Below are 27,061 nucleotides of genomic sequence, written 5' to 3' on the forward strand. Positions count from 1 at the left end.
CTCTGTCACCAGGCTGGAATGCAGTGGCGCGATCTCGGCTCACTGAAACCTCCGCCTTCCTGGTTCAAGCGATTCTCCTGCCTCAGCCTCCCAAGTAGCTGGGACTACAGGTGCCATGCCACCACACCCAGCTAATTTTTGTATTTTTAGTAGAGACGGGGTTTCACTATGTTGGCCAGAATGGTCTCAATCTCTTGACCTCGTGATCCGCCTGCCTCGGCCTCCCAAAGTGCTGGAATTACAGGCGGGAGCCACCACGCTCTGCCCAGGTTACTTCTTTTGTCTCATTTTTATGGTGTTTCCTGGAGGACAAAAGATAAAAGCATGTGCTTGGTCTGCCATCTTTAACTGAGAATGTTTTATGCATTAGCCTCTTGAATTATTATAAGAATAGTAATTAGAATTTTTAAGAGGTTTTCTTTTTTTCTGTGTTATTTATTTACTAAAGAGCTGCTTGTTATTCTGTTTGTTTATGTTGTTCCTTCCGTTTTATTTATTTTCCTCAAGTTCTTGGCAGTCTGCGGTATGCTTCAGTCTTTACTGGTGTACAGAGTCAAATAGGTTTCTTCTACAGTGTGTAAGCCTCTTTCCCAACAGGCCTTTATTTTGAAGAGAGAGATGATAGTAATCTTTGTGTAAATAGGATAAGTTAAGCTGACTTCCCTTTAGAATTAATAGGTGAGAAGTAGGCAGGTCATCTGGAGAAATGCACATTTGCAGAATGAAGGAAAGAAGGCAGGCAGGCTCTACTCTGGGCTTATGGAAGTTTTGAGCAGAACACCATCATCATCATCATTATTTTTTTTTTATGGAGGGCTTTATGGAAAGACTTTCCAGTAAAAGGTACATTTGAGACTTGAAAACTTAACTAGATTTTAAAAGTATATTGTAATTTTCTAGTAAAACATGCTAGTTATAAAAAATGTCACTACAAAAACATGCATTATGTCAAAGTGAAGTCTTTCCTTTTTTTAAATTTTTTGAGACAGCTTCTCATTCTGTTTCCCAGGCTAAAGTGCAGTGACATGACCATGCCTCACTGAAGCCTTGACCACCTGAGCTCAGGTGATCCTCCCCGCTTCTCCTCAGCCTCCTGAGTAGCTGGGACCACAGGCACACACCACCATGCCTGGCTAATTTTTTTTTTTTCTTGGAGATGAGGTCTTGCTATGTAGCGGAGGCTGGTCTTGAACTCCTGGGCTCAAGTGATCCTCCTGCTTCGGCCTCCCAAAATGCTGGGATTACATGTGTGAGCCACAACACCTGTCCTGAAGTCTTTCTTAATTTTTACTTTCTTCTATGTCTTAATTTTCTTCTGTGGTTAGCTTTGCTAAATTGTTCTCCAAATGAATTGTATCATATTTTGTTGGCAGCAAAAACAAAAATATCCCCCAAGCCCTTTCTTAACATCTTTACTACATTGGGTATTTTCATGACTAAGATTTTACCAGGCACAGAAAGGATTTTCAAGTGAGTTGAGTGATCATGATAAAGCCAGGGGAAAGTGCAGGGCATAATATTGAAGTTGAGTGAGTGAATAAGTGTGGAAAAGAGTCGAAGGAGATGAGACCAGAAAGATAATCTGGATTTATGGAGGGTCTTTTTCATATGCCAAAATGTCTGGCATAATATCTTCAAATAGTAAGGAGCCATCAGAGGCTTTTAAGGAAGGAAATGACATGAACACATTTTTGTTGGTTAGATCACAAGCAAAAGTGTGAAGAATGGTGGGAAGAAGGGGAGAAATGAGACCTTCACCTCATTTATAAAGTCATTGCAGGTCGGGCGTGGTGGCTCATGCCTGTAATCCCAGCACTATGGGAGGCCAAGGCGGGCACATCACCTGAGGTCAGGAGTTGGAGACCCGCCTGGCTAACATGGCAAAACCCCATGTCTACTAAAAATACAAAACATGAGCCAGGTGTGGTGGTGCATGCCTGTAGTCCCAGCTACTCAGGAGGCTGAGGCAGGAGAATCGCTTGAGCCTGGGAGGCAGAGGTTGCAATGAGCTGAGATCACACCACTGCACTCCAGCCTGGGCGACAGTGAGTGACACTCTGTCTCAAAAAAAAAAAAGCCAAAAAACAAAAATCATTGGAATTCCCTATACTTGGTCTTTATAAGTGACTCTCTTTCATTGAGATTAAGGCAGACAGTAAACCTGAACTGAGCACATGGAGTCTAGTGAGAGCAGAATAGGTTCATTGTTTGCCTGCTGGAAACTTGCATCTCTAATGTTACATTGAGGTGATGAGAAACTATGTAGGCTAGAAGGGATTGGAAAACTCCTAGACTGCTAGTTTGGGTGTTAGAGTGGGAGGCTGGCATGTGGTGAATATTATAGAGAACATAAAATAGTTAATCCATTTCAGTGTTCCACTTGCCATTATCATCACCACCAAGACAGTCACAATTTTTAATGGATAGTTGGAAATTTTAATAGATTCTAAAATGGATGTGAACAATTTTACTTTGTATCAGTATGGTTTTATCCACTTGATATCACTGTATTTGTATTTTTTCATTTGTTTATCAATAAATAATTACATGTATATTTTCCAAACCTTGTATTTGAAGGTAAGCAGCTGCTCCCTTTGTCCAGCAGTGTACATAGCAGTGTGGGACAGGTGACTTGGCAGTCGTCAGGAGAAGCATCAAACCTGGTTCGAATGAGAAACCAGTCCCTTGGACAGTCTGCACCTTCTCTTACTGCTGGCCTGGTAAGTGTTCATAAAGGTGGCATTTTGCTCTATGAAAAATCCATAATTGTCATTTGTCATTGCAACATCTATTCTTTTTCCTTTTTAGGATTTGGAGAATTCAGTTTCCCAAAATGAAGTATGGAAGAGAATGAATTTATTATTATTTTTTTTAGAGATAGGGTCTTGCTTTGTTGCCCAGGCTGACTTCGAACTCCTTGGCTGTAGTATTCCTATTGCCTCAACCTTCCAAGTAGCAGGGACTACAGGTACATGTCATGGCATCAGGCTAAGAATGAAATTTTTTTTTTTCTTTTTTTTTTTGAGTTGGATTTTTGCTCTTGTCACCCAGGCTGGAGTGCAATGATGTGATCTCACCTGCCTCCTGGGTTCAAGCAATTCTCCTGCCTCAGCCTTCTGAGTAGCTGGGATTACAGGTGTGCGCCACCACCCCTGGCTAATTTTTTTGTATTACTAGTAGAGATGGGGTTTCACTGTGTTGGCTAGGCTGGTCTTGAACTCCTGACCTCAGGTGATCCTCCCTGCTCGGCCTCCCAAAGTGCTGGGATTACAGGTGTGGGCCACCACTCCCGGCCTTAAGAATGAAATTTTAATTGAATCTTTTTTTTTTTTTTTTTTTGAGATGGAGTCTCACTTTGTTGCCCAGGCTGTAGTGCAATCTCGGCTCACTGCAACCTCTGTCTCCCAGGTTCAAGTGATTCTCCTGCCTCAGCCTCCCAAGTAGCTGGGATTACAGGCACTTGCCACCATACCCCGCTAGTTTTTGTGTTTTTAGTAGAGATGGGGTTTCACCACGTTGGCCAGGCTGGTCTTGAACTCCTGACCTCATGATCCACCCACCTCAGCCTCCCAAAGTGTTGGGATTACAGGCTTGAGCCACTGTGCCTGGCCCAATTAAGTCTATTTTGATTGCCCTCTCATGCTGTCAGTGTCACTGGTACTAATTGTATAGTGAGGGTCAAGGAAAAGATTCTGTAAGGTTGTAACTTCAATGAGTAAATTTTCCTGGGAAAGAACATTCTTTTTATAGAAATGATTCTAAATCTGGTACAGTTGTGCTGCTTTGGTTTACAGCTCTGTGGTATACATATTTAGTACATGAGGACAGGGAACTTGTTTGGCACATCATGGGTACTTAAAGTATATGTATAAGAATGAGGGCCGGGTGCAGTGGCTTACGTCTCTAATTCCTGCACTCTGAGAGTCTGAGGCAGGAGGATCGCTTGAGCCCAGGAGTTCAAGACTAGCCTGGGCAACATAGTTGAGACCTTGTCTATACAAATAATAATAATCATAAAAAAAAAATTAGCCGAGGATGGTGGGGTGTGCCTGTAGTCCCAGCTACTCAGAAGGCTGAGGTGGGATAATCGCTTGAGCCTGAGCAGTTGAAGCTGTAGTGAGTTGTGATTGTGCCACCACACTCTGGCGACAGAGTGAGACCTTGTCTGGAAAAAAAAAAAAAAAAAAAGCCTTTTGTTTGTCTAGGCTTTGTGTGATAGGCAGGGCCTTACAAAATTAAAGCTGTGTAGCCTGGGCAGGTTGCTTTGTTTCTGCCTGTTGTTACAAATTATACCCTTTTATCCTCAAACTTGCTTTTGTACCAAAGGCACCCACTGGCTTTCTGCTCATCTCACACTGTTCCCTCTATCCTTAGGTCTAGGCACCTACTAATTTGTAGGGTACAATAACAGAAACTTGTTACTATTAAAGTCTCATCTACACTTGAAGATATAAGCCTTTTGGGTCAACATATGTGGAGTAGAAAGTTTTGTCCATTTGTTCAATATGGGAAGTGGGAGTAGCGGGGAGGATGTCTTTGTGTAGCAGGTGGGAGGCTAATTTTTGGATCAAAGGATATCCTGATAATACCGAAGTTTGTGATTCTCAGGCCACAGAGAGAATCAGGATCATTTGTGAAAATTCCTACCTCCTTAATTTTTTATTTTGAAATTTTGAAATCTGCAGAAAAATAGACAGAATGGTACAGTGAACACCCATGTAAGTTTTACCTAGACTGACTAATTTGTACATTTTTTCCATATTTGTTTTTTCTGTGTGTATATATGTATTTTTTTCCCGAAGCATTTCAAAGCAAGTCACAGACTAATTACGATACCTCATCCTTAAGTATTTCTCCTAAGGTGAAGGATACTCTCCTAAATAACTACAATATATGACCAGATCTAAGAAGTTTAATAGTTTTTTTTTTTTTTTTTGAGCCTGAGTCTCGCTCTGTCACCCAGGCTGGAGTGTAGTGGTGTGATCTTGGCTCACTGCAACCTCTGTCTCCTGGGTTCAAATGATTCTCCTGTGTCAGCCTCCCAAGTAGCTGGGATTACAGGTGCGTACCACTACACCTGGCTAATTTTTGTATTTTTAGTAGAGATGGGGTTTCACCATGTTGGCCAGGCTGATCTCGAACTCCTGACCTCAAGTGATCCACCTGCCTCGGCCTCTCAAAGTGCTGGGATTACAGGCGTGAGCCACCGCACCTGGCCACATCATTTTAATAGTAACATCTAATAATGTGAAGACCATATTGAGATTTTCCTACTTGGTCCCAACATGTCTATTAAAGCCTCGCCTGCTTCCCTTTTAACCTCTGGAACCTAAAACAAACAAACAAACAAGCAAAAATGGATGAGTGTACCCTCCTAGAGATTTTGATCCAGATGTCTGGGGTTAGTCACAAGCATCTGTGTTTTCTTTTCTTTTCTTTCTTTCTTTTTTTTTTTTTGAGACAGGTTCTCCCTCTGTTGTCCAGTCTGGAGTGCAGTGTCATGATCTTAGCTCACTGCACCCTCTGCTTCCTGGGTTCAAGTAATTCTCATGCCTCCCGAGTAGCTGGGATTACAGATGTGTGCCACCTCACCTGGCTATTTTTTGTCTTTTCAGTAGTGATGGGGTTTTGCCATGTTGGCCAGGCTGGTCTTGAACTGCTGCCTCAAGTGATCCACCGGCCTTGGCCTCCCTAAGTGCTGGGGTTACAGGTGTGAGCCACTGTGCCTGGCCTGTATTTTCTTTAAAGTGTTACCCTGATTCTAACAACGTACTTCTTTGAGAACTACTGCCACCATGATACAGCTGAATATTCCACTTTAAGGTGGTATGTTGCAGAAGGGATTCCCGGACTGAGGTTACTGGAACCTAGGCCAAGTGAGCTAGAATATTCCTGAATTAAGTTTTTTTTAAATTAACAGTTTATTGAGATATAATTCACATATGATATAATTCACCCACTTAAAGTATACAGGTCAGTATTTTTTGGTGTATTTCACAGACATGTACAGCCATCACTGTAGTCAATTTAAGAATATTTTCTTTACTTTAGAAACTGTACTCTTCAGGTATCACCTCCTCATTGTTCCATCCCTAACCCCGCCCCCACACTAGGCAACCACTAATCTACTTTCCACCTCTATAGGTTTGCCTATTCTGTATTTTTCATATAAATCAAATCAAATATGTGGCCTTTTGTGGCGGCTGCTTTCACTTAGTCTAATGTCTTCAAGATTCATCCATGTTGCAGCATGTGTTCCTTTTTGTTGCCGAATAGTATTTTGTTGTATGTATATATCATGTTTTGTTTAGCTGTTCATCAGTTGATTCATTTCCTTCATTCTTCACCTTCATTTTCTAATGTTTATTGAGAGGATTTATCTGAGGGCTTATTTTTCCCATATATGTAGAAATCATGATCCTAATTAGTGATTACCAGGGCATGTTCTAAAAAGGATCATACAATCGTATCATTATATGTGCCTAGGGATGGAGGAGAACTTAGGTGGAATATTGTTCAAGATTAGTTCTTCTTCTTCTTAAAAAAAAATTACATAGAGTGAAAATCTGTTGTTAACAGTGGGTTGTTTCTGCCTTTTGGCTATTATAAGTAATATTGCTATGAACATTCATGTACAAATTTTAATGTAGATATATGTTTTCATTCCTCGTGGATATATATCTAGGAGAGAAGTTGCTGAGTCATATGATAACTGTATTTAATCATTTGAAGAACTTTGATTTCTCTACATCCTTGCTATCCTGGTGGGTGGGAAGTGATATCTTGTGTCTTTGATATGCATTTCTCTAGTGACTCATGATGTTGAGCATCTTTCATGTGCTTACCGGACATTTGTTTGTCTTCTTTGAAGAAGTGTCTATTTGGATTATTGGCCATTTTTAAAATTGAATGTTTCTTTTATTGTAAGTTTGTAAAATAATTGTTTCTTTAGACCTGAATCCAATTTCTTCTCTTTCCCAGGGAACTGCTTTTTGTTTTCTCTTGTGCTTTTTTTTTTTCCTGAGCTACTTATTTACCTACTGTAACTTCAAGCTAGCTCTTCTCTTCCCATTCTCCCGCCTAAAGATTTTCAGTTGAATATTTTATGTTAGGTGGCACATTTGCTAGTTGGTATTAAATACCTATTTCTGCTTTGACCACCCATACTGGAATAAACCTCAGTGTCTACCCTGCTTCTGGCTGTGACATTTCTGAAAAATCTTAACTAGAATGTATTCTCTTTGGAGTAACGGCCGTCTATAGTACATGGACCCAGCCTCCAAAGAACTTTTGGGTTAGCAGAACAGGATTCACATATAATAGGACAACTATTTAAAAATAATAAAACATCACATTTAAATAAATATTGTATTGATTTTTATTTAAATAGTAACAAAAGGGGGCAAGAATTATACTAGTTATAATTATTGGAATGATAACTGGTAGGAGGTTAGACTTGACCAGAGTCTGGAGAATAGATAAGCAAAAGCCTTAAAGTTGCAAATATTTCCATTTTGAGGCCATCTAGATGATGTTTTTATGAAGAGATTTTTGGACTCTTCATTTTCTGATGTCTATTGAGAGGATTTCTCAGAGGACTTATTTTCCCCATATATGTAGGAACCATGATCCTAATTAGTGGTTCCCAGGGCATGTTCTAAAACAGATCGTAGAATCATATTATTTATTATATGTTCTTAGGGATGGAGTAAAACTTAGATAGCGTCTTGTTCAAGATTAGTTATTATTTGTATTCTTAAAATATATATACAGTTAAAATCTGTTGTTAAAAGTGGCATAGGAGAAAGACCCCTGCATTAGAAATCAGAAGACCAAGCTCTGATGCTGCTATGTGAATCTGAATAAACATACTGGAGCCTATGTTCTTCTCATCTGTAAAATGAGGTCAGTTCCTGCTTTGCTTTCTCCTGAGTATGTTAACTAGTATCTGCAGTTTTGATCTTTGCCTTCTGTATCTCTGATGTAAATCCACTTGGCTGTATCACCATTCTAAGACTCACCCTACCTGTCTACTGTCTTTCCATCCGCCCAAGCCAGTTCTTCCTTGTTCATTCCCTGTCTTTTTTTTTTTCCATAATTGAAATTTTATTGGTAGTGTTGAGGATCAGTACACAGACATTTCCATTTGTACACAGTTCTTAACATATCTACTGGAAATCTAAAAAGCCATGTATTGTATTTGTTTTTTAAACAGTTATTCCAGTGACTTTCCAGCTTAAAATTTGGAGGCAAATTTTCCTTAGGAGGCCATCAAGTATCCTAAGGAAAATACCAGTATTGTCAAGTGTTACATACATCCTACCAATCTACCAGTTCACAAGTTAGTAGTATATATACTACATACTCAAATTTTCAATCTTTCGCATCACATTAACAAAGTTATCAGGAAAGTAAGACTACTTTGACTACAGATGTTACAGAGTGCACACAGTTCTGACAGGGAGAGCCATGATCAAGGAGTGATTTTCGTTAGAAAACAATTCTACTAAAAAACAGTGTGAGAATAGAAGTAATCTAAAATGTTCAAGTCATGATTACCAATAACCATTCTAACATGATACTGTGATTATAGCAAACTGCTATAATCTTAAACTGAATTGGGAATATTTCTAACCAGAACAAAAGATGTGATATTCTGTTGAACATTTTATCATCAGTTCTCATGTTGAATATGATGTCATTTTGGGTGCCATATTATTATTGAATTTTGTTGAGATGAGATTTTCAGATAACATAAAATTAACCATTTTAAAGTGTACATTTTAGTGGCATTTCATGCATTCACAATGTGTGCAGCCATCACCTTTATCAAGTTTTAAGACATGTTCACCACCATCCCCTGCAAAAAAAATCCTCTACCCATTAAACAGTCATTATTCATTCCACCCTCATTCTAGCTAGGGCAACCACTAATCTGCTTTTTGTCTCTGTGGATTTACCTATTCTAATATTTCATATAAATGGAATCATAAAATATGTGCCCTTTTGTGCCTGGCTTTTTTCACTTAGCCCAATGCTTTCAAGATTTTTCTGCATTATAGCATGTATCAATACTTTATTCCTTTTTTATGGCTGAATAAGATTCTGTTGTATGGGTAAACCACACTTTTATCCGTTTGTCTGCTGATAGACATTTGAGTTGTTTCCACCTTTTAGCCATTGTGAATAGTACTGCTGTATTTGTGTACATGAATTTGTTTTGAATACTTGTTTTCTGTATTTTGGGTATGTACCTAAGAGTAGATTTGTTGGATGATACAGTAATTCTTTGTTTAACTTTTTGAAGAACTACCACACTTTTGGTTTGCTACACCATTTTATATTCTTCCCAGAAATATATGAGGGTTCCAGTTTCACTGCATCCTTGCCAGTACTTTTCTGTGTTTTTGATTATAGCCATCATAGTGGGTGTCAAGTGGTGTCTTATTGTGGCTTTGATTAGTATTATATTTTAATAATATTTTAGAACTGTCTGTTGAGGTCACATGGAGTATGCTGTTAAAGGAAATAACAAAACTCCAAGACTTTTCTTAGAACCTAGAACCTTTTCTCATCATTAAAAAGATTCTTATTTTAATTTATATTATTTTAGTTGAAAAGTAATCCCATCATTCTTAATTTATTTTTCCTTAATTTTCACGAGTTCAAAGAGGAAAAACCCATAGACGTTTGTTTTACCTACTTCAGTATTATAAAGAGATTCCAAATTCAGCACTTCCCCTTTCAGTATTACCTTTCTGCTGCTGTAGTTTTGCATTTTCTACTGTGAAAGGTGGAGATATCTATATCTATATGTCAGTTGGCTTTATTGAGGTATAATTTACATAGAATAAAATTCACCCGTTTTAAGTGTTCAGTTTGATGACTTTTGGCAGATGTATACAGTTGTGTCACCACCACCACAATTATGATATAGTTATATAAGAATTATGGTATAGAACAGAACAGCATTCCCCAACCTTTTTGGCACCAGGGACGGGTTTCATGGAAGACAGTTTTTCCACAGATGGGTGGAGGGGGGATGGGAGGTGGTTTCAGGATGAAACTGTTCCACCTCAGATCATCAGGCATTAGCTAGATTCTCATGAGGAGCGTGCAACCTAGATCCCTCGTATGCGCAGTTCACAATAGGGTTCATGCCCCTACGAGAATCTAATGCTGTGCTGCTGATCTGACAGGAGACGGAGTTCAGGCGGTAATGCTCACCCTCATACAGCTCATCTCCTGCCATGTGGCCTGGTCCCTAACAGGCCATGGACCTGGTATAGAATATATAATGCTCACCCTCATACAGCTCATCTCCTGCCATGTGGCCTGGTCCCTAACAGGCCATGGACCTGGTATAGAATATATCTGCCACCCCAAGTTCGCTTGTGTCCCTTTGCTGTCTGTTCTCTCTCCCCAGGCCCAGCCTTTGGCAACTACTGATGTGCTTTTTGTCACTGTGGTTTTGCCTTTTCCAGAATTTCATAGGAATGGAATCATACAGTATATAGTCTTTTGTGTCTTTTTTCACTTAGCATAATCCTCCTGAGATTCATCCATGTTGTTTTGAGTATCAATAGTTTGTTCCTCTTTATTGCTGAAAAGTGTTCCATTGGCATGGGTATATAGACTTTTCCATTCCCTAGTTAATGACCATATGGGTTGTTTCCAGTTTTTGCCTGTTAGAGAGAGAGCTGCTGTGAAAGTTCATATAAGTTTTTTTGTTTTTGTTTTGGTGTGGAATATGCTTTATTTCTCTCGGGTAAATACCTAGGAATGAAACTGGTGGAATGTATATTTACCAGTGTAAATTTATCTTTATAAGAAACTGCCAACCTGTTTTCTAAAGTGGCTATACCATTTTTGCATTTCCACCAGCAGTTGCTCCACATCTTATCAGTACTAGGTATTATCATATATTTTTTTTTGAGATGGAGTTTCACTCTTGTTGCCCAGGCTAAAGTGCCGTGGCACAATCTCGGCTCATTGCAACTTCCACCTCCCGGGTTCAAGCCATTCTCCTCCCTCAGCCTCTCAAGTAGCTGAAATTACAGGCGCACGCCACCACGCCCAGCTGATTTTCGTATTTTTAGTAGAGGTGGGGTTTCGCCGTGTTGGTCAAGCTTGTCTCGAACTCCTGACCTCAGGGGATCCACCCGCCTCAGCCTCCCAAAGTGCTGGGATTACAGGTGTGAGCCACCGCACCCGGCTATCATTTTTTAAATTTTAGCCATACTAGTGGATGTGTGGGAGTTTCTCATTGTGGTTTTAATTTTAATTTGCATTTCTCTAATGACTAATGAGATTGAACATATTTTTATGTGCTTATTTGCCAATTATATATATTCTTTTTTTTTTTTTTTTTTTTTTGAGATGGAGTCTCGGTCTGTTGCCCACGCTGGAGCGCAGTGGCATGATCTTGGCTCACTGCAACCTCCGCCTCCTGGGTTCAAGCACTTCTTTTGCCTTACCCTCCTGAGTAGCTGGGATTACAGGCATGCACCACCATGCCTGGCTAATTTTCTCTGTATTTTTAATAGAGACGGGGTTTTGCCATGTTGGCCAGGCTCTTCTTGAACTCCTGACCTCAGGTGATCCACCCGCCTAGGCTTTCCAAAGTGCTGGGATTACAGGTGTCAGCCAATGCGCCCAGTCAGCTATTTTTATATATATACATTCTATGATCAAATGTCTGTTCAAAACTTTTGTCTATTTAAAAAAAAATTTTTTTTGTCTTATTGAGTTTCAGGAATCTTCGTATATTCTGAATACAAGTTATATATCAAATATATGCCTTCTAAACATATTCTCCCTGTCTGTGACTTACATTTTCATTTTCTTATCAGTTTTACACAAATATTTATATACGAAAAATGTGGAAATCAGTTGTATCCCTCTATACTAACAATGAGTAATTAGAAATCAAAACTTAAAAATCAGGACTGTTTGCAATAGTTTAAAATATGAACTACTTGAAGATAAATTCCAGAAACCATTTTGGAAGACCAGTACATTGAAAACTACAAAACATTACTGAGACAAATTAAAGAAGACCTAAATGAATGGAGAGATACAACATTTTTGTGTATTGGAAGACTCATATCTTTTCTTTTTTTTTTCCTTTGAGACAGGGTCTCACTCTGTCATCCAGGCTGGAGTATAGGGGTGTGATCTTGGCTCACTGCGACCTCCGCCTCCTGGGCTCCAGTGATCCTCCCATGTCAGCCTCCCAAGTGGCTGGGACTACAGGCACCATCACAAATTTTTTTTTTTTTTTTTGAGACGGAGTCTCGCTCTGTTTGCCAGGCTAGAGTGCAATGGCATGGTCTCAGCTCACTGCGACCTCCGCCTCCCGGGTTCAAGTGATTCTGCTGCCTCAGCCTCCCCAGTAGCTGGGATTACAGGTGCCTGCCACCATGCCTGGCTAGTTTTTGGTATTTTTAGTAGGGATGGGGTTTCACCATGTTGGCCAGGCTGGTCTCAAACTCCTGACCTCGTGATCTGCCCGCCTCAGCCTCCCAAAGTGCTGAGATCACAGGCGTGAGCCACCACGCCCAGCAACATCTGGCTGATTTTTGTATTTTTTGTAGAGATGGGGTTTCGCCATGTTGCCCAGGCTGGTCTTGGACTCCTGTACTCAAGCAATCCTCCTGCCCTGGCCTCCCGAAATGCTGGCTTACAGGCATGAACCACCTGGTGCCCAGTCTAGGAAGACTCATATCATGAAGATGTAAATTTTCTCCATTAAGCTATAGATTTAATGCAGTCCCGATCAAAACCCAGGTAGTATTTTTCAGAAAATATCAAGCTGATTTCAAATGTGTATTGAAATGTAAAGGACCTAGAATAACCAAAACAATATTAAAAAGAAGACCAAAGTTAGAGGAATCAAACTTATTTTATGACTTTGTATAAAGGAACAGTAATCGGGTCAGTGTGATTATTGGTATAAGGATAGATATATAGATCACTGGAACCAAATAGACAAATTTGCCAAGGCAATTTAATGGGGGAAAAGGTAGTCTTCATAACAAATGGTGTTGAAACAATTCACACAAAAATATCAACCTCTATACTTACCTCATGCTGTACAAAAATTAACTTGAAGTGGGTAATTGAACAAATGTAAGAGCTTAAATCATAAAATGTGTAGAGGAAAACGAGAAAATTTTTGTGATTTTAGGTGGGGCAAAGGTTTCTTGGAGTAAAAAAAGCTTAACCTATAAAAGGAAAAAAATTGGCTTTTATCAGAAAGAAAAATTTTTGCTCTTCAGTATTTATTTTTAATGGAATGAAGACAAATTGAAGTGTATCTACAAGGGGGTGGAATGATGAGTAAAACTTGTGTTAAAGAGTTATTAACAGATTTTGTTGTCTGTTTGGATTTTAATACATATCACTACCTTCTACCTTTGGAGGTAGAAATCTAGAAGTCATAATGAATGTTCTTTGCATGCAACTCCTGTGGGTTTACCCGTTAATTTATACTTTTTTCATTTCTACTCAAGAAAATATATTTGAATGAAATCATTGTGAATGCCTTCTACTTTACAAAAGTAAATACAAACTCAGGCTGTACACCTGTGTTCCACATCCTACTCCTGCCACTTAGTAATCATATGACCCTCTACAAGTCACTGAACCTCTTTAAGCCTCTGTTTTCTCATCTTTAAAATCAAAATAATATTAAGACTTCGCTCATGCAGTTTTTAGGATGAAATGAGACAATCCATTTAAAATAGCATAGTGCCAGATTTATAGTTAAATTTAGAGGCAGCCAAAAGCTACCTCCCTACATAGTGAACTATAACCTAATTTAATATATAAACTACCTGCAACCTAACCTAAGAGTATACTCTTGTAACAAGTAGCTGAGCCTCAGTCAAGCATAGCAGCCAAGTTTTCAGCCAGTCATATAGGCTGAATATTGCCAAAGCATGTTCAAATAAGGCAAACACCTGAACTGCAGCCCATCAGGCTACTTCTGTATGTCATTTCTGTTTCTCTGGCTATAAATATAGCCTACATGCATTGGGGGATGGAACATTCTGAACTGCATTTGGTACTGGATGCTAACTGGTTCATTAATCTCTATTTTTTTGAGACAGGGACTTGCTTAGTCACCCAGGGTGGAGTGCAGTGACATGGCTCACTGCAGTCTGGACCTCTTGGGCTTGAGTGATGCTTCTGCCTCAGGCTGCTCCCTTCCCCACCTTTCCCGGAAGCTGGGACCACAGTTTTCATTTCCTTATTATTTGTAATGGGGGTTGGGGGTGGGGGCTCCCTGTGCTGCCCAGGCTGGTCTCAAACTTCTGGGCTCAACCAATCCTCCAGTCTCCACCTCTGCCTCCCAGAGTGCTGGAATTACAGGGGTGAGCCACCGCACCTGGCAAATCTGTTTTTTGTTCAATTAAGTCATTAAATTTAACTTGTCTCAGGTTTGTCATTTAACAATATGAACAAAATGTATATATTTTTTTCTTTTTATGCCTCGGTACTTCAAATAGTTATTAGTAGCTGTGATACAGTAAGAAATATTGTGTATATTTCTTACCGTATAAAGAAATATATACATATATATATTTCTTCTGTATATATATATAATTACTGTGATACAGTAAGAAATACATGTATTCCTTATATATGTAGCTGGGACCACAGGTGGATGCCACCATGCCTGGCTAATTTTTTGACTTTTTTGTAGAGACAGGATTTCGCCATGTTGTGCGGGCTAGTCTCTGCTGGGCAAGGTGTCAGAACCCGGCAGTGGAGAGTGGTTGGCTCACTGGTGGTAAAAGAATTTACTGACAGCAGTATAGGTTTAGAAAGGAAAGTTTTATTAGATAGAATGCTGCAGCAGAGTGCAGTACAGTGCTTCATTCAGCAAAAAGGACTGAGTGTGTTGCGGTGGATTTTCCTTAGGGGTATTTATGGACTTTAAAGCAGGACCTTAGGGTAATTTGGACCATATTAGTTATGTAGGTCATGGTAAATTATTACATTTGTAGACTTTGGGTGCCTTGATGTTAGCAAGGGTTGCAAAATAAGTTTTGACATTCATGCATTCTGGAGATGTATAGAAATTCTAGTTACTTATAAATTTTTGGGAAAGAAGCCTGGTACCAGATGCTGGCTTTAGATAATAGAGAAGTCTAATTACTTTTCAATTTTTCAGATAAGGAGTTTTGTCTTCGGATGGTCTGCTTGATTGCCACTAGGTGATCGTTGTATTCTTCTGTGTCGAACTCCCAGGCTCAAGTGATCCACCCGCTTTGGCCTCCCTAAGTACTGGGATTATAGGAATGAGCCACTGTACCTGGCTGTTACTTTTATCTGAAATTGAGAATACAGGAAAAGGAACAGGTTTGGGGGAGAAAATTAATGAGTTTGATTCTCAGATGATGACAGGTAATCTGGTGTACATATCCTTTTAAAAATATTGATATGAAATTTACATAACAAAATCAACCATTTTAAAGTGAACAATTCAGTGGCATTTAGTACTGGCAGATTTGTTTTTCACAATACAACTGCCACCTCTATCTAGCTGCAAAACCTGCCTGTTACTTTAGATTTAAACCTCTTATCCATTAAGCCCTTTCTCCCCACTCCCCTTCCATGCAATCTGCATTTTGTCTCTATGGATTTCTCTATTCTGGATATTTTATATAAATAATATTATACATATGTGACCTTCTGTATCTGGTTTATTTCATTTAGCATAATGTTTGGATGTTCATCCACATTCTAGCATATATTGGTACTTTATTCCTTCTTTTGGTTGAATAATATCTCGTTGTATGTGTCCAACACAACTTTTTATCCATTGATGGACACTGGGCTGTTTCCACCTTTTGGATACTGTGAATAGTGCTGCTATGAACTATATGTATACATGTACTTGAGTACCTGTCTTCAGTTCTTTTGGGGATATACCTGGGGTGGAATCACAAAGAAATACGGTAATTCAACTTTTTGAGGAATAACCAAACTGTTTTCTGTAATAGCTTACCATTTTACAGTTCCACTAGCAATGTACTGAAGGTTTCAGTTTCTCTATATCTTTGTCAACTTGTTATATTCCATTTAAAAAATTATTGTTTAGTTATACTATCCTGGTGAGTATGAAGTGGTACCTCATTGTGGTTTTGATTTGTAGTTCTGTAATGACTAATGATGTTGAGCATCTTTTCATGTGTTTTTTGACCATTTATATATCTTCTTTGGAAAAATGTCTATACAAGTCCTTTGCCCATTTTTTTTAATTGAATTTTTTTGTTGTTTTAAGTTTGTTATATATTCTGGGTATTAGACCCTTAGTTATATGATTTCCAAATTTTTTTCCTGTTCTGTGTGTTGTCTTTTTAGTTTGTTGGTAATGTCCTTTGAAGTTTAAAAATGCCCTTGATGAAGTCTAACTTATCTGTGTTTTTCTGTTATTGCTTATGCTTTTGGTTTCATATCTAAGAATCCATTGCCAGCTCCAAGGTCATGATTTACTTCTGTGTTTTCTTCTATGAATTTTATGGTTTTACTTCTTATATTTACTTCATCGACCCATTTTGAGTCAGTTTTTATATTCAGTGTGAGGCAAGAGTTTATTTTTTTGCATGTGGATATCACTTTTTAGGTATCCTTTCAAGAGTTAGATGTCCAGAGTAAAGTACAGCAGTTTAGGGCTATAGATGTGGACTTGGAAGCTGTGGATTAAATCACCATGGGAGAGAGTAAAGAGAAATAAAAGGAATGTAGGGGAACATGAAAAAATTACATGTGAAAGGATAGATAATGTTAGACAGTGAAGTATTCAACTTAGATAAGAACTGTAGGAGTTTAGATAAAGTGCATTCACTTGAGAATTGCTGTCCTTTTCACTCTTAGTTTTTCTTTTTGTAAGAGGAACTTGTTTCTAATGCCATCTAGTGTCTTTTGAAGGGTATATGAGTAATGTTAAGAGGTTTTAAAATAAAAGTTTTGAAATTTCATGAGACTTGAGCAGTATATTGGCAGTCTTAGCTTACTCTCAAGAGCATCCTTAAGAGAGAAGTAAAAGAACACATTAAATACTTTGCCTGAACAAATTCGGAGCTGAATTTCATCTTGAATAGTTAAGCATTTTTATCATCTCTTTTGTGTTAATTTGTAAAGAATTTAAGATACCTTAAAAATAGTGACGTCAAATTTTTTTCTTATCTTGAATTTGTCTTACAAAAATTATAGACAGCCTTACTTTTTTTTGTTTTTGTTTTTGAGACAGGATCTTGCTCTGTCACCCAGGCTGGAGTGCAGTGGTGCAACCTTGGCTCACCGCAGTGTCAACCTGCTAGGGTCAAGTGATTCTCCTGCCTCAGCCTCCTGAGTAGTTGGGACTACAGGCATGGGCCACGATGCCTGGCTAATTTTTATTTTTATTTATTTTTAAACTTTTATTTATTTATTTTTTGAGACAGAGTTTCACTCTTGCTGCCCAGGCTGGAGTGCAGTGACTCACTGCAACCTCCGACTCCCAGGTTCAAGTGATTCTCCTGCTTCAGTTTCCTGAGTAGCTGGGATTACAGGCGCCTGCCACCATGCCCAGCTAATTTTTTGTATTTTTAGTAGAGATGGTGTTTCACCATGTTGGCCAGGCTGGTCCCAAACTCCTGGCCTCAAGTGATCCACCTGCCTCGGCTTCCCAAAGTGCTGAGATTATAGGTGTGAGCCACCGCGGCCAGCTTAATTTTTATTTTTAAACTTTTTGTAGAGGTGGGATTTTACAGTGTTTCCCAGTTTGGTCTCGAACCCCTGGGCTCAAGCAATCCTGCCTCAGACTTCAAACTATCGGGATTACAGTTGTGAGCCACTGCACCTGCCAAGCATCTAAATTTTTAAAAGGCATTTAAAATAAAAAATTTTTTTAGATAAATTTGTTGGTTGATTGGTTTGTTCGTCCGTTTTGTGCTGCTATGACAGAATACTCGAAACTGGGTAATTTATAAGGAATCAAGGTTTATTTCTTAGAGTTCTTGGGGCTCAGAAGCCCAAGATCAAGGTACCAGCATCTGATGAGGGCTTTCTTGGTGTTTCCTCACGTGGCAGAAGGTGGAAGGGCAATAGAGAAGAAATCCATTCCTGTAAGCCCTTTTTATAGTGACATTAATCCATTCATGAGAACAGAGCTTTCATGACTTAAACACCTCTCAAAAGGCCAAATCTCCCACCACTGTTGCATTGGAAATTAAATTTCCAGCACATGGATTTTGGGGAACACATTCATACCATAGCAGTTGAGGTTACAGAAAGAGATCTTACTGAATTTGTTGATGGTTAGAATACATGGGAGAACGTTTATGCAAGTTTTTGGTAAGGTGTCATATATGTCAAGGAGAACGGCATTATTAAACCACTAGTAAAAAGTTATAAGAGCAGGTTTTGTTTTTACTCTTATACAAAAAATATCAGTGCTAGTCTTTTTGTTTTTTTCCTTTTTCTTTTTTGAAATTGCAGAAATAAATTTTATTTTTAATTTTCAGAGGTTAAAAAAAGTTATGATACTTTAAACTGTTAACAAGACTTAGTTGATATCCAGTTAACCTAATACAGCATTAATGTTTTTATTATTTTCTTGAAGAGACTCAAATACACCTGCATTGTGCTCTTTTAAAAACATATTAAGGATACTTGTATTTAACAAGTTTTTTAGGAAAAACATTGTACAACATTTATGTTTTTCATGATGCTGAAAATGCTGAATTACATGTCAATTTAATTTATCTCTTAGAAGAAAAAGTAACATAATTAAAATCACTGGGTCTCTAATCTTTAGTTCTCTCTCCACAAATAAAACCTGTCACTTTTCACAATAAAAAAGCAAAAAATAATATACAATTAAAAGGAGCTAAACTGAAATTCTTTATCCTCTTTTTCCTTTTTTGAGACGGAGTGTCTCTGTCGCCCAGGCTGGAGTGCAGCGGTGCGATCTCGGCTCACTGCAAGCTCTGCCTCCTGGGTTCACGCCATTTTCCCACCTCAGCCTCCTGAGTAGCTGGGACTACAGGTGCCCACCACCATGCCCGGCTAGTTTTTTGCATTTTTAGTAGAGACGGGGTTTCACTGTGTTAGCCAGGGTGGTCTCGAACTCCTGACCTTGTGATCTGCCCGCCTCGGCCTCCCAAAGTGCTGGGATTACAGGCATGAGCCACTGTGCCTGGCCTCTTTATCCCGTTTCAAAAGATAAATTAATTGTGGGAGATCAACATAACAATCATCACTGATTTTTTTTTTAACCATTTAACTCTGGTTCAAAAGATAAATAATAATCTATAATCCACCAGTGTATACAAATTTTTTATCACATTTTCCCTTATGTTGTAAAAAAAAAGAAAATAGGTTTAATGTTTAAAGAAGGATTAATTTGATATTATTACTGAAAGACAATTTTGCTGTTATCACAGCTCAAAAAGTAGTGACAGGAATCTTTTAGGAAACAGGTTACTGTCCGTTTCACAAAATGTGAAATTAGATGATCATAAATATACAAGAAAATCAAAACATTTTCTGTCCTTAGTTATATTGCTCCCCCCGGCCTGAAATTTAGATGAAAAAGATTAAACAACTTTTGCAGATCACGTCTATCTATTTTAGCAACTTAATATAAATGAAAAGCAATCTTCATTTTAAAATAAATATCATAGGCCAGGTGCGGTGGCTCATACCTGTAATCCCAGCACTTTGGGAGTCCGAGGCAGGTGAATCACGAGGTCAGAAGTTCAAGACCAGCCTGGCCAACATGGTGAAACCCAGTCTCTACTAAAAAAACACAAAACAAATTAGCTGGGCGTGGTGGCGGGTACCTGTAATCCTAGCTACCTGGGAGGCTGAGGCAGGAGAATTGCTTGAACCTGGGAGGCAGAGGTTGCAGTGAGCCGAGATGATGCCACTGCACTCCAGCCCAGGTGACAGTGCAAGACTCCGTCTTAAAAAAAAAAAAAAATTAATAACACCATTTTTGAAACTGCAAATGAAACTCTCATCATATAAGAGAATGTCAACATCAAATTCTTGTATCTTGATGATTATGTACCATAATCAATGAATATAATTTGAAGCTCTCAAATTATTTATTTTGAATTCAAGTGAAGATGATTAGGCTAATCCAGTCATTTCCTCTTCTGAGTCATTTGATTCATCGTTTAGTTCCAATTCCACTAAATCTTGGTCTGTAGTTATAATAGTTTTCCTCTTGCACTTCTTGGGAATTGCATCATTAGCACAGATTTTTCTCATTTTAATATTTGGCAATTTCTTCAGATCAAAGTCCCATTCCCTAAATGTTTTCAGATTACTTGCATTTAGAATGTCTGGAATCTCAAAGCCACATCCTTTATACTGCTGTCCCTCCCGCTCCATCGTCTGCTTGATGATGGTGTCCTGGGAACAGTGCTGCCTGTCCTGCTTGTCCCTGATACTGTTATGTAACTCAATCTGCTCCAACTCACTGCTAAATCAATTTAATTTAAGTACCTTTCAGTTAGTTCACAAGCATCTTTGTTTGAATATCTTTTTTTGGGGGGGATCAAGATGATTTTGAAACCATTGCAGTTTTTCACCAATAAGATTGAAACACAAGGCCTTTTCATTCTTCAATTTTTCCTTTTTTTCTTATTTGTGGGCCTCTCTCATAATTTGAGCTGCTTTTCTACTATATGGATGAATGACTTTTTTTCCCATCCTGCACTTTTTCCCTTTGGTGCTTTAGGTATAGTGACGTCCTCGCGGCCACAGAGGAGCTCTGCACTCTAGACCCAGGCAGTCTCACCAACCACAAGAGCAGCAGCTCACAGGAGTACCCGTGCCAAATCCCCCTGGGGCCTCCCTTTTTCTTTTTTTTTAAGATGAGATTTTGCCATATTGCCCAGTCTGGTCTCGAACTCCTGGGTTCAAGCCATCTCCCCGCCTCAGCTTCCCAAAGGGTGTGAGCCACTATGCCCGGCCAGTACTAGTCTTTTAATTAGGCTGTTATTGTCATGTGTTGCTTCGCACTGGTATATTTACAGTGCTGAGCAAAGATTGAAAAGCAGTGCTACTGGTGCATTCTATCATATAGACAATATAATTACTAGTGATAGTTTAGTTGCAATAGAGAACTAATATTTACTAGACCCTATTCCTAGTTTAACGTATGTTCTCCTTTATTTTCTCCAGAACATTGAGTTGTCATTCTTCATTTTTGCAATATGTCTTATCTATAGAATGTATAGGGAACAAGGCTGGTTTCAGCATGTGTAGACTGGTGGCCTTAAGAGATAGCAATGTTAAGAAATAGTAGTAGTGTACAATAAACCATTAATATAGCAGTCCTGAGACTACTATCCTTAGAAAGGCTTGTGCGGAAGGCCGACCCTTGGCTGGTATCTGGAAACTTGAATGGTAAACAGTTTCCTACACTGATAAAAATTTCCTTGAATGATAAGAGTGACTTACTGTGCAAACAATGTGATTTATGCTGAACATTTACTTACCTTCTGGGAGTCTGAAATTTTGGTATGTAGTAGGCAAGAGGGTGCCTGTGTGAGCAGCTCCATTAAAAACTTTGGACACTGAGTCTTTGGTGAGCTTTCCTGGTAGACAACATTTCATGGATATAGTTACTAGGTGTTGCTGGAAGAAATAAGTGTGTCTTATGTGACTTCACTGGGAGCGAACTCTGGGAAGCTTGTGCTTGGTTTCCTCCAGACTTTGCCTCATGCACCTTTTCCATATGCTGATTATATGCAGGGTCCTGTGAGTACTCCTGGAGGATCATGGAACCTGGGGATGGTTTTGGTGACCCCTGACACAGGTAGTCTTTGAAGGATTTATGAAAATAGTTAAGGGTATAGCCGGAGTAATCAGGCAAGAGAAAGAAATAAACGGCATTCAAGTAGGAAGAGAGAAGTCAGATTATCCCTGTTTGTAGATGACATGATTGTATGTGTAGAAAACCCCATCATCTTGGCCCAAAAGCTCCTTCAACTGATAAACAAATTCAGCAAAGTTTCAGGACACCAAATTAACATACAAAAAACCACTAGCATTCCTATCCACCAACAACAGCCCAGCTGGGAGCCAAATCAGGAAGGCAATCCCATTCACAATTACCACAAAAAGAATACAATACCTAGGAATACTGCTAACCAGGGAGGTGCAAGATTTCTACAATGAGAATTAGAAGACACTGCTCAAGGAAATCAGAGAAGACAAAAACAAATGAAAAAACACACCATGCTCATGGATAGGAAGACTCAATATCATTAAAATGACCATACTGCCTAAAGCAGTTTACAGATTCAATGCTATTCCTATCAAACTACCAAGAACATTCTTCACAGAACTAGAAAAAACGATTTTAAAATTCGTATGGAACCAAAAAAGAGCTTGAATAGCCAAGGCAGTCCTAAGCAAAGAGAACAAAACTGGGGGCCTCACGTTACCCAACTTCAAACTGTACTATAGGGATACAGTAACCAAAACAGCATGTTACTGGTACAAAAGGCACATAGATCAATGGAACTTTATTTCCGGCAGAAATAAAGCTGCACACCTATGACCATGTGATCTGTGACAAAACTGACAAAAACAAGTAATGATACTGGGATAACTGGCTAGCCATATGCAGAAGATTAAAGCTGGACCCCCTCTTTTCTTTTTTTTTTTTTTGAGATGGAGTCTCTCTCTGTCACCCAGGCTGGAGTGCAGTGGCGCGATCTAGGCTCACTGCAAGCTCCACCTCCCAGGTTCACACCATTCTCCTGCCTCAGCCTCTGGAGTAGCTGGGACTACAGGCGCCCGCCACCACACCCAGCTAATTTTTTGTATTTTTAGTAGAGATGGGGTTTCACCATATTAGCCAGGATGGTCTGGATCTCCTGACGTCGTGATCTGCCTGCCTCAGCCTCCCAAAGTGCTGGGATTACAGGCGTGAGCCACTGTGCCCCGCCCATATTTTCTTTATCTAGTCCACTGTTGATGGGCACCTAGGTTGATCCCATGTCTTTACTATTGTGAATAGTGCTGTGATTAACATGTGAGTACATGTGTCTTTTTGGTAGAATGATTTGTTTTCTTTTGTATATTTACCCAGTAATAGGATTGCTGGGTTGAATGGTAGTTCAGTTTTAGGCTCTTTGAGAAGTCTCCCAACTACTTTCCAGAGTGCTAAACTAATTTACATTCCTACCAACAGTGTATACGTGTTCCCTTTTATCTGCAGTCTTGCCGGCATCTGTTGTTTTTTTGCTTTTTGATAATAGCTATTCTGACTGGCATAAGATGGTATCTCATTGTGGTTTTGATGTGCATTTCTCAAATGGTTAGTATGTGGAGCATGTTTTCATGTTTGTTGGCTGCCTGTATATCTTCTTTTGAGAAGTGTCTGTTCATGTCTTTTGCCCATTTTGTGATGGGGTTGTTTTTTGCTTGTTTAATTGTTTAAGTTCTTTATAGAGTCTAGATATTAGACCTTTGTCAGATGCATAGTTTGCAAATATTTTCTCCCATTCTGTAGGCTGTTAACTCTACTGATTGTTTCTTTTGCTGTGCAGAAACTCTTTAGTCTAATTAGGTCCCACTTGACAATTTTTGTTTTTGTTGCAATTGCTTTTGAGGACTCAGTCATAAATTGTTTCCCAAGGTCAGTGTCTGGAATGGTGTTTCCTAGTTTGTTTGTTTGTTTTTTCCCTAGGATTCTTACAGTTTGAGGTCTTACATTTAAATCTTTAATCCATCTTGAGTTAATTTTTGTATGTGGTGAAAGGTAGGGTTCCAGTTTCATTCTTCTGCATGTGCCTAGCCAGCTATCCCAGCACTATTTATTGAATAGAGTCCTCTCCCCATTGCTTATTTTTGTTGACTTTGCTAAAGATCAGAAGATTGTAGGTGTGTGGCTTTATTTCTGGGTTCTCTATTCTGTTCTATAGGTCTATGTGTCTGCTTTTGTACCAGTACTATGCTTTTTTTTTTTTTTTTTTTTAAACACTGTAGCCTTATAGTATAGTCTGAAGCTGGGTAATGTAATCCCTGCAGCTTTGTTCTTTTTGCTTAGGATTGTTTTGGCTATTTGAGCTCTTTTTTGGTTTCATGTAAATTTTAGAATAGTTCTTTCTAGTTCTGTGAAAAATGACATTGGTAGTTTGATAAGAATTATGCTGAATCTGTAGATTGATTTGGACAGTATGGCTGTTTCAACAGTATTGATTCTTCTAATCCATGAGCATGAAATTTTTTTCCTTTTGTTTGTGTCACCTGTGATTTCTTTTAGCAGTGTTTGTAGTTCTCCTTGTTGAGATCTTTTACCTCCTTGGTTAGATGTATTCTTAGGTACTTTTTCTTTTTCTTTTTTTTGTAGCTATTGTAAATGGGACTGCATTCTTTACTTGGCTCTCAGCTTGAATGTTACTGGTATATAGAATTGCTACTGATTTTTGTACATTGCTTTTGTATCTTAAAACTGGGAAGCCATTTATCAGTTCCAGGAGCCTTTGGCGGAGTCTTTAGGGTTTTCCAGGTATAAAATCATATTGTCTGCAAAGAAAGATAGCTGGACTTCTTTGCTGTTTGGATGCCTTTTCTTTCTTTCCTTTGTGTGATTGCTGTGGCTAGAACTTCCAGTGCTCTGTTGACCAGCAGTCAGGAGAGTAGACATCCTTGTCTTGTTCCAGTTCTCAAGAGGAATGTTTCCAGTTTTTCTCATTCAGCATGATGTTGGCTGTGGATTTGTCATAGGTGGCTTTTATTTATTTTGAGATATGTTCCTTGGATGCCTAGTTTGTTGAGGGTTTTTATCATGAAGGGATGGTGGATTTTATTGAAAGCTTTTTCTACATCTATTCATCTGACTTCCTTTTTTCTGCTTGACCTAATAGAAAAAATTTTCAGCCCTACTTGAAATGAATTACCTGAGCTGAGGGACTGAGATTGCTGCTGGCAAATAGAATTAATGGACTATTTTTTAAAGAGGGCAAAAAGCTCCAAACAGAAACGTTTCTGAGATGTGTTGGGGCATTTTGGGAATAAAGTAACATGCATTTATAGGGAGATACTAAAATGAAAATATAGGAATTTCCTTTTTTTTCAGTTATTTAGCCTTTAAAAAAATACTTATGGTTGCATAGGAAGTTGCAAAAATAGTGCAGAGTACTATGAACCCTTCACCCAGCTTTCACCAATAGTGTCATCTTATATAGCTATAATACAATATTAAAACCATGAAAATGACATTTGTACAATATCATTAACTAGATTATAGCCCTTATTTGGTCTTTATATACACTTGTATATGTTTGTGTGTGTATGTACAAGTCATGCAATCTCATCCCATGAATAGATTTGTGTAATGGCCACCACCACAATCAACATACAGAACCGTACTGTCATTACAAAGGAATTCGCTTGGGCTGCCCTTTTATATTTGCACTCCCACCCCGTCTTTATCTTCTTGCAACCACTAATGTGTTCTTCTCTATGTGAATTATATTTATATTTATATTTCCTTTTGATACAGGGTCTCACTCTGTCCCCCAGGCTGGAGTGTGGTTTTGCAGTCATGGCTCACTGCAGCCTCCATCTCCCAGTCTCAGGTGATCCTCCTGCCTCAGCCTTCCGAGTAGCTGGGATCACAGGCACAAGCCACCATGCCTGGCTAATTTTTTTTTTTTTTTTTTAATTTGTAGAGATGGAGTCTTGCTATGTTGCCCAGACTGGTCTCGAACTCCTGGGCTCAAGTGATCCTCCTCCCTCAGCCTTCCAAAGTGTTGGAATTAAAAGGGTGAGCCACTATGCCTGGCCTTTATGTGAATATTATATAAATGGAACCATATAGTATATAACCTTTTGAGATTTTTTTCAGTAAGTATAATGTTTTTGAGATCCGTCTAAATTGTTGCATGTATCCACTCAGTTCTTTCCCTCTTTGTGTGTAGTATTCCATTGTATGGTCACACATCACTTGGTTATTTACTCACATGTTGATAGATTTTATGTGTTTGTTTTTTGAATCTGCACCACTGGCAATGGATTTTTTTAAAGCTATTAACTTTTTTTTTAAATTAAAAACAATTATTTTTTGTTGAGATGGTATCTCTGTCACCCAGGCTGGAGTGCAGTGGCATGATCTTGGGTCACTGCAACCTCTGTCTCCCAGGTTAAAGTGATTCTCATACCTCATCCTCCCGAGTAGCTGGGATTACAGTCGCCTACCACCATGCTCACTAATTTTTGTATTTTTAGTAGAGACAGGGTTTCACCATGTTGGTCAGGCTGGTCTCGAACTCCTGAGCTCAGGTGATCCACCTGCCTTGGCCTCCCAAAGTGCTGGGATTACAGATATGAGCCCCATGCCCTAAAACTATAAACTTTTAAAAGTTTTGTATGTATTCTAAATATAAATTCCTTGTTGGATATGTGGTTTGCAAATAACTTTTTTATTCTTTTTAACAGAGTGTTTTGCATAACACATTTATTAATTTTTTAAAAATAATTATTGTTTTTTTTTGAGTCAGAGTCTCTGTCACCTAGGCCATAGTGCAGTGGCTCGATCTCGGCTCACGGCAACCTCTACCTCCTGGGTTCAAGTGATTCTCCTGCCCAGCCTCCTGAGTAGTTGGGATTACAGGTGTGTACCATCACGCCTGTGTAATTTTTGTATTTTTAGTAGAGACAGGTTTTTACCATGTTGACCAGGCTGGTGTTGAACTCCTGACCTCAAGTGATCCACCCACCCCGGCCTCCCAAAGTGGTGGGATTACAGGCGTGAGCCACTGTGCCCATCCTAAAATTGTTTTTCTGTTTCTTAAAAGAAAAATTTTTTATACTACCTTTATGTGTACAATCTCTTTTTTTTTTCAATCAGCTTTCTTAGGTTGAAAAATGTCTTTAATTTTGATGAAGTTCTGATTGTGTTCTTGGTGTCATGTCTAAGAACTTTTCACCTATTCCTAGGTTCTGAAGATTTTCTCCTCTGTGTTCTTTTAAAAATTTACAGTTTTATTTTTTACATTTAACTCATGATCAATTTTGAAGTAATTTTTGTGTATAGTGT

The 27,061-nt window shown here is 38.8% G+C and overlaps 1 protein-coding gene and 1 pseudogene across 23 annotated transcripts in view, besides 1 other annotated feature; one reads left to right on the forward strand and one right to left on the reverse strand.

Moving 5' to 3' along the window:
* Nucleotides 1-27,061, forward strand: part of MAST2 (microtubule associated serine/threonine kinase 2) — a 232,511-nt gene that overhangs the window by 23,250 nt on the left and 182,200 nt on the right. For all 23 annotated transcript variants that reach the window (XM_011541059.3, XM_011541069.3, XM_011541061.3 and 20 more), the window contains exon 3: nucleotides 2,578-2,720. In XM_011541059.3, the coding sequence (XP_011539361.1) occupies nucleotides 2,578-2,720 (143 nt within the window). The remainder of the gene's footprint in view (nucleotides 1-2,577; nucleotides 2,721-27,061) is intronic.
* Nucleotides 11,966-12,467: an enhancer, noted in NCBI's record as "H3K4me1 hESC enhancer chr1:46304499-46305000 (GRCh37/hg19 assembly coordinates)". NCBI's record gives its function as "activates a minimal SCP1, AML or CMV promoter by ChIP-STARR-seq in primed H9 embryonic stem cells {active_cell/tissue: H9 hESC(primed)}" and the evidence as "EXISTENCE:reporter gene assay evidence [ECO:0000049][PMID:30033119]".
* TMA16P2 (translation machinery associated 16 homolog pseudogene 2) lies at nucleotides 18,482-20,858 on the reverse strand (annotated as a pseudogene).

Source organism: Homo sapiens, chromosome 1 (genome assembly GCF_000001405.40).
Source record: "Homo sapiens chromosome 1, GRCh38.p14 Primary Assembly".
Classification (NCBI taxonomy): Eukaryota; Metazoa; Chordata; class Mammalia; order Primates; family Hominidae; genus Homo; species Homo sapiens.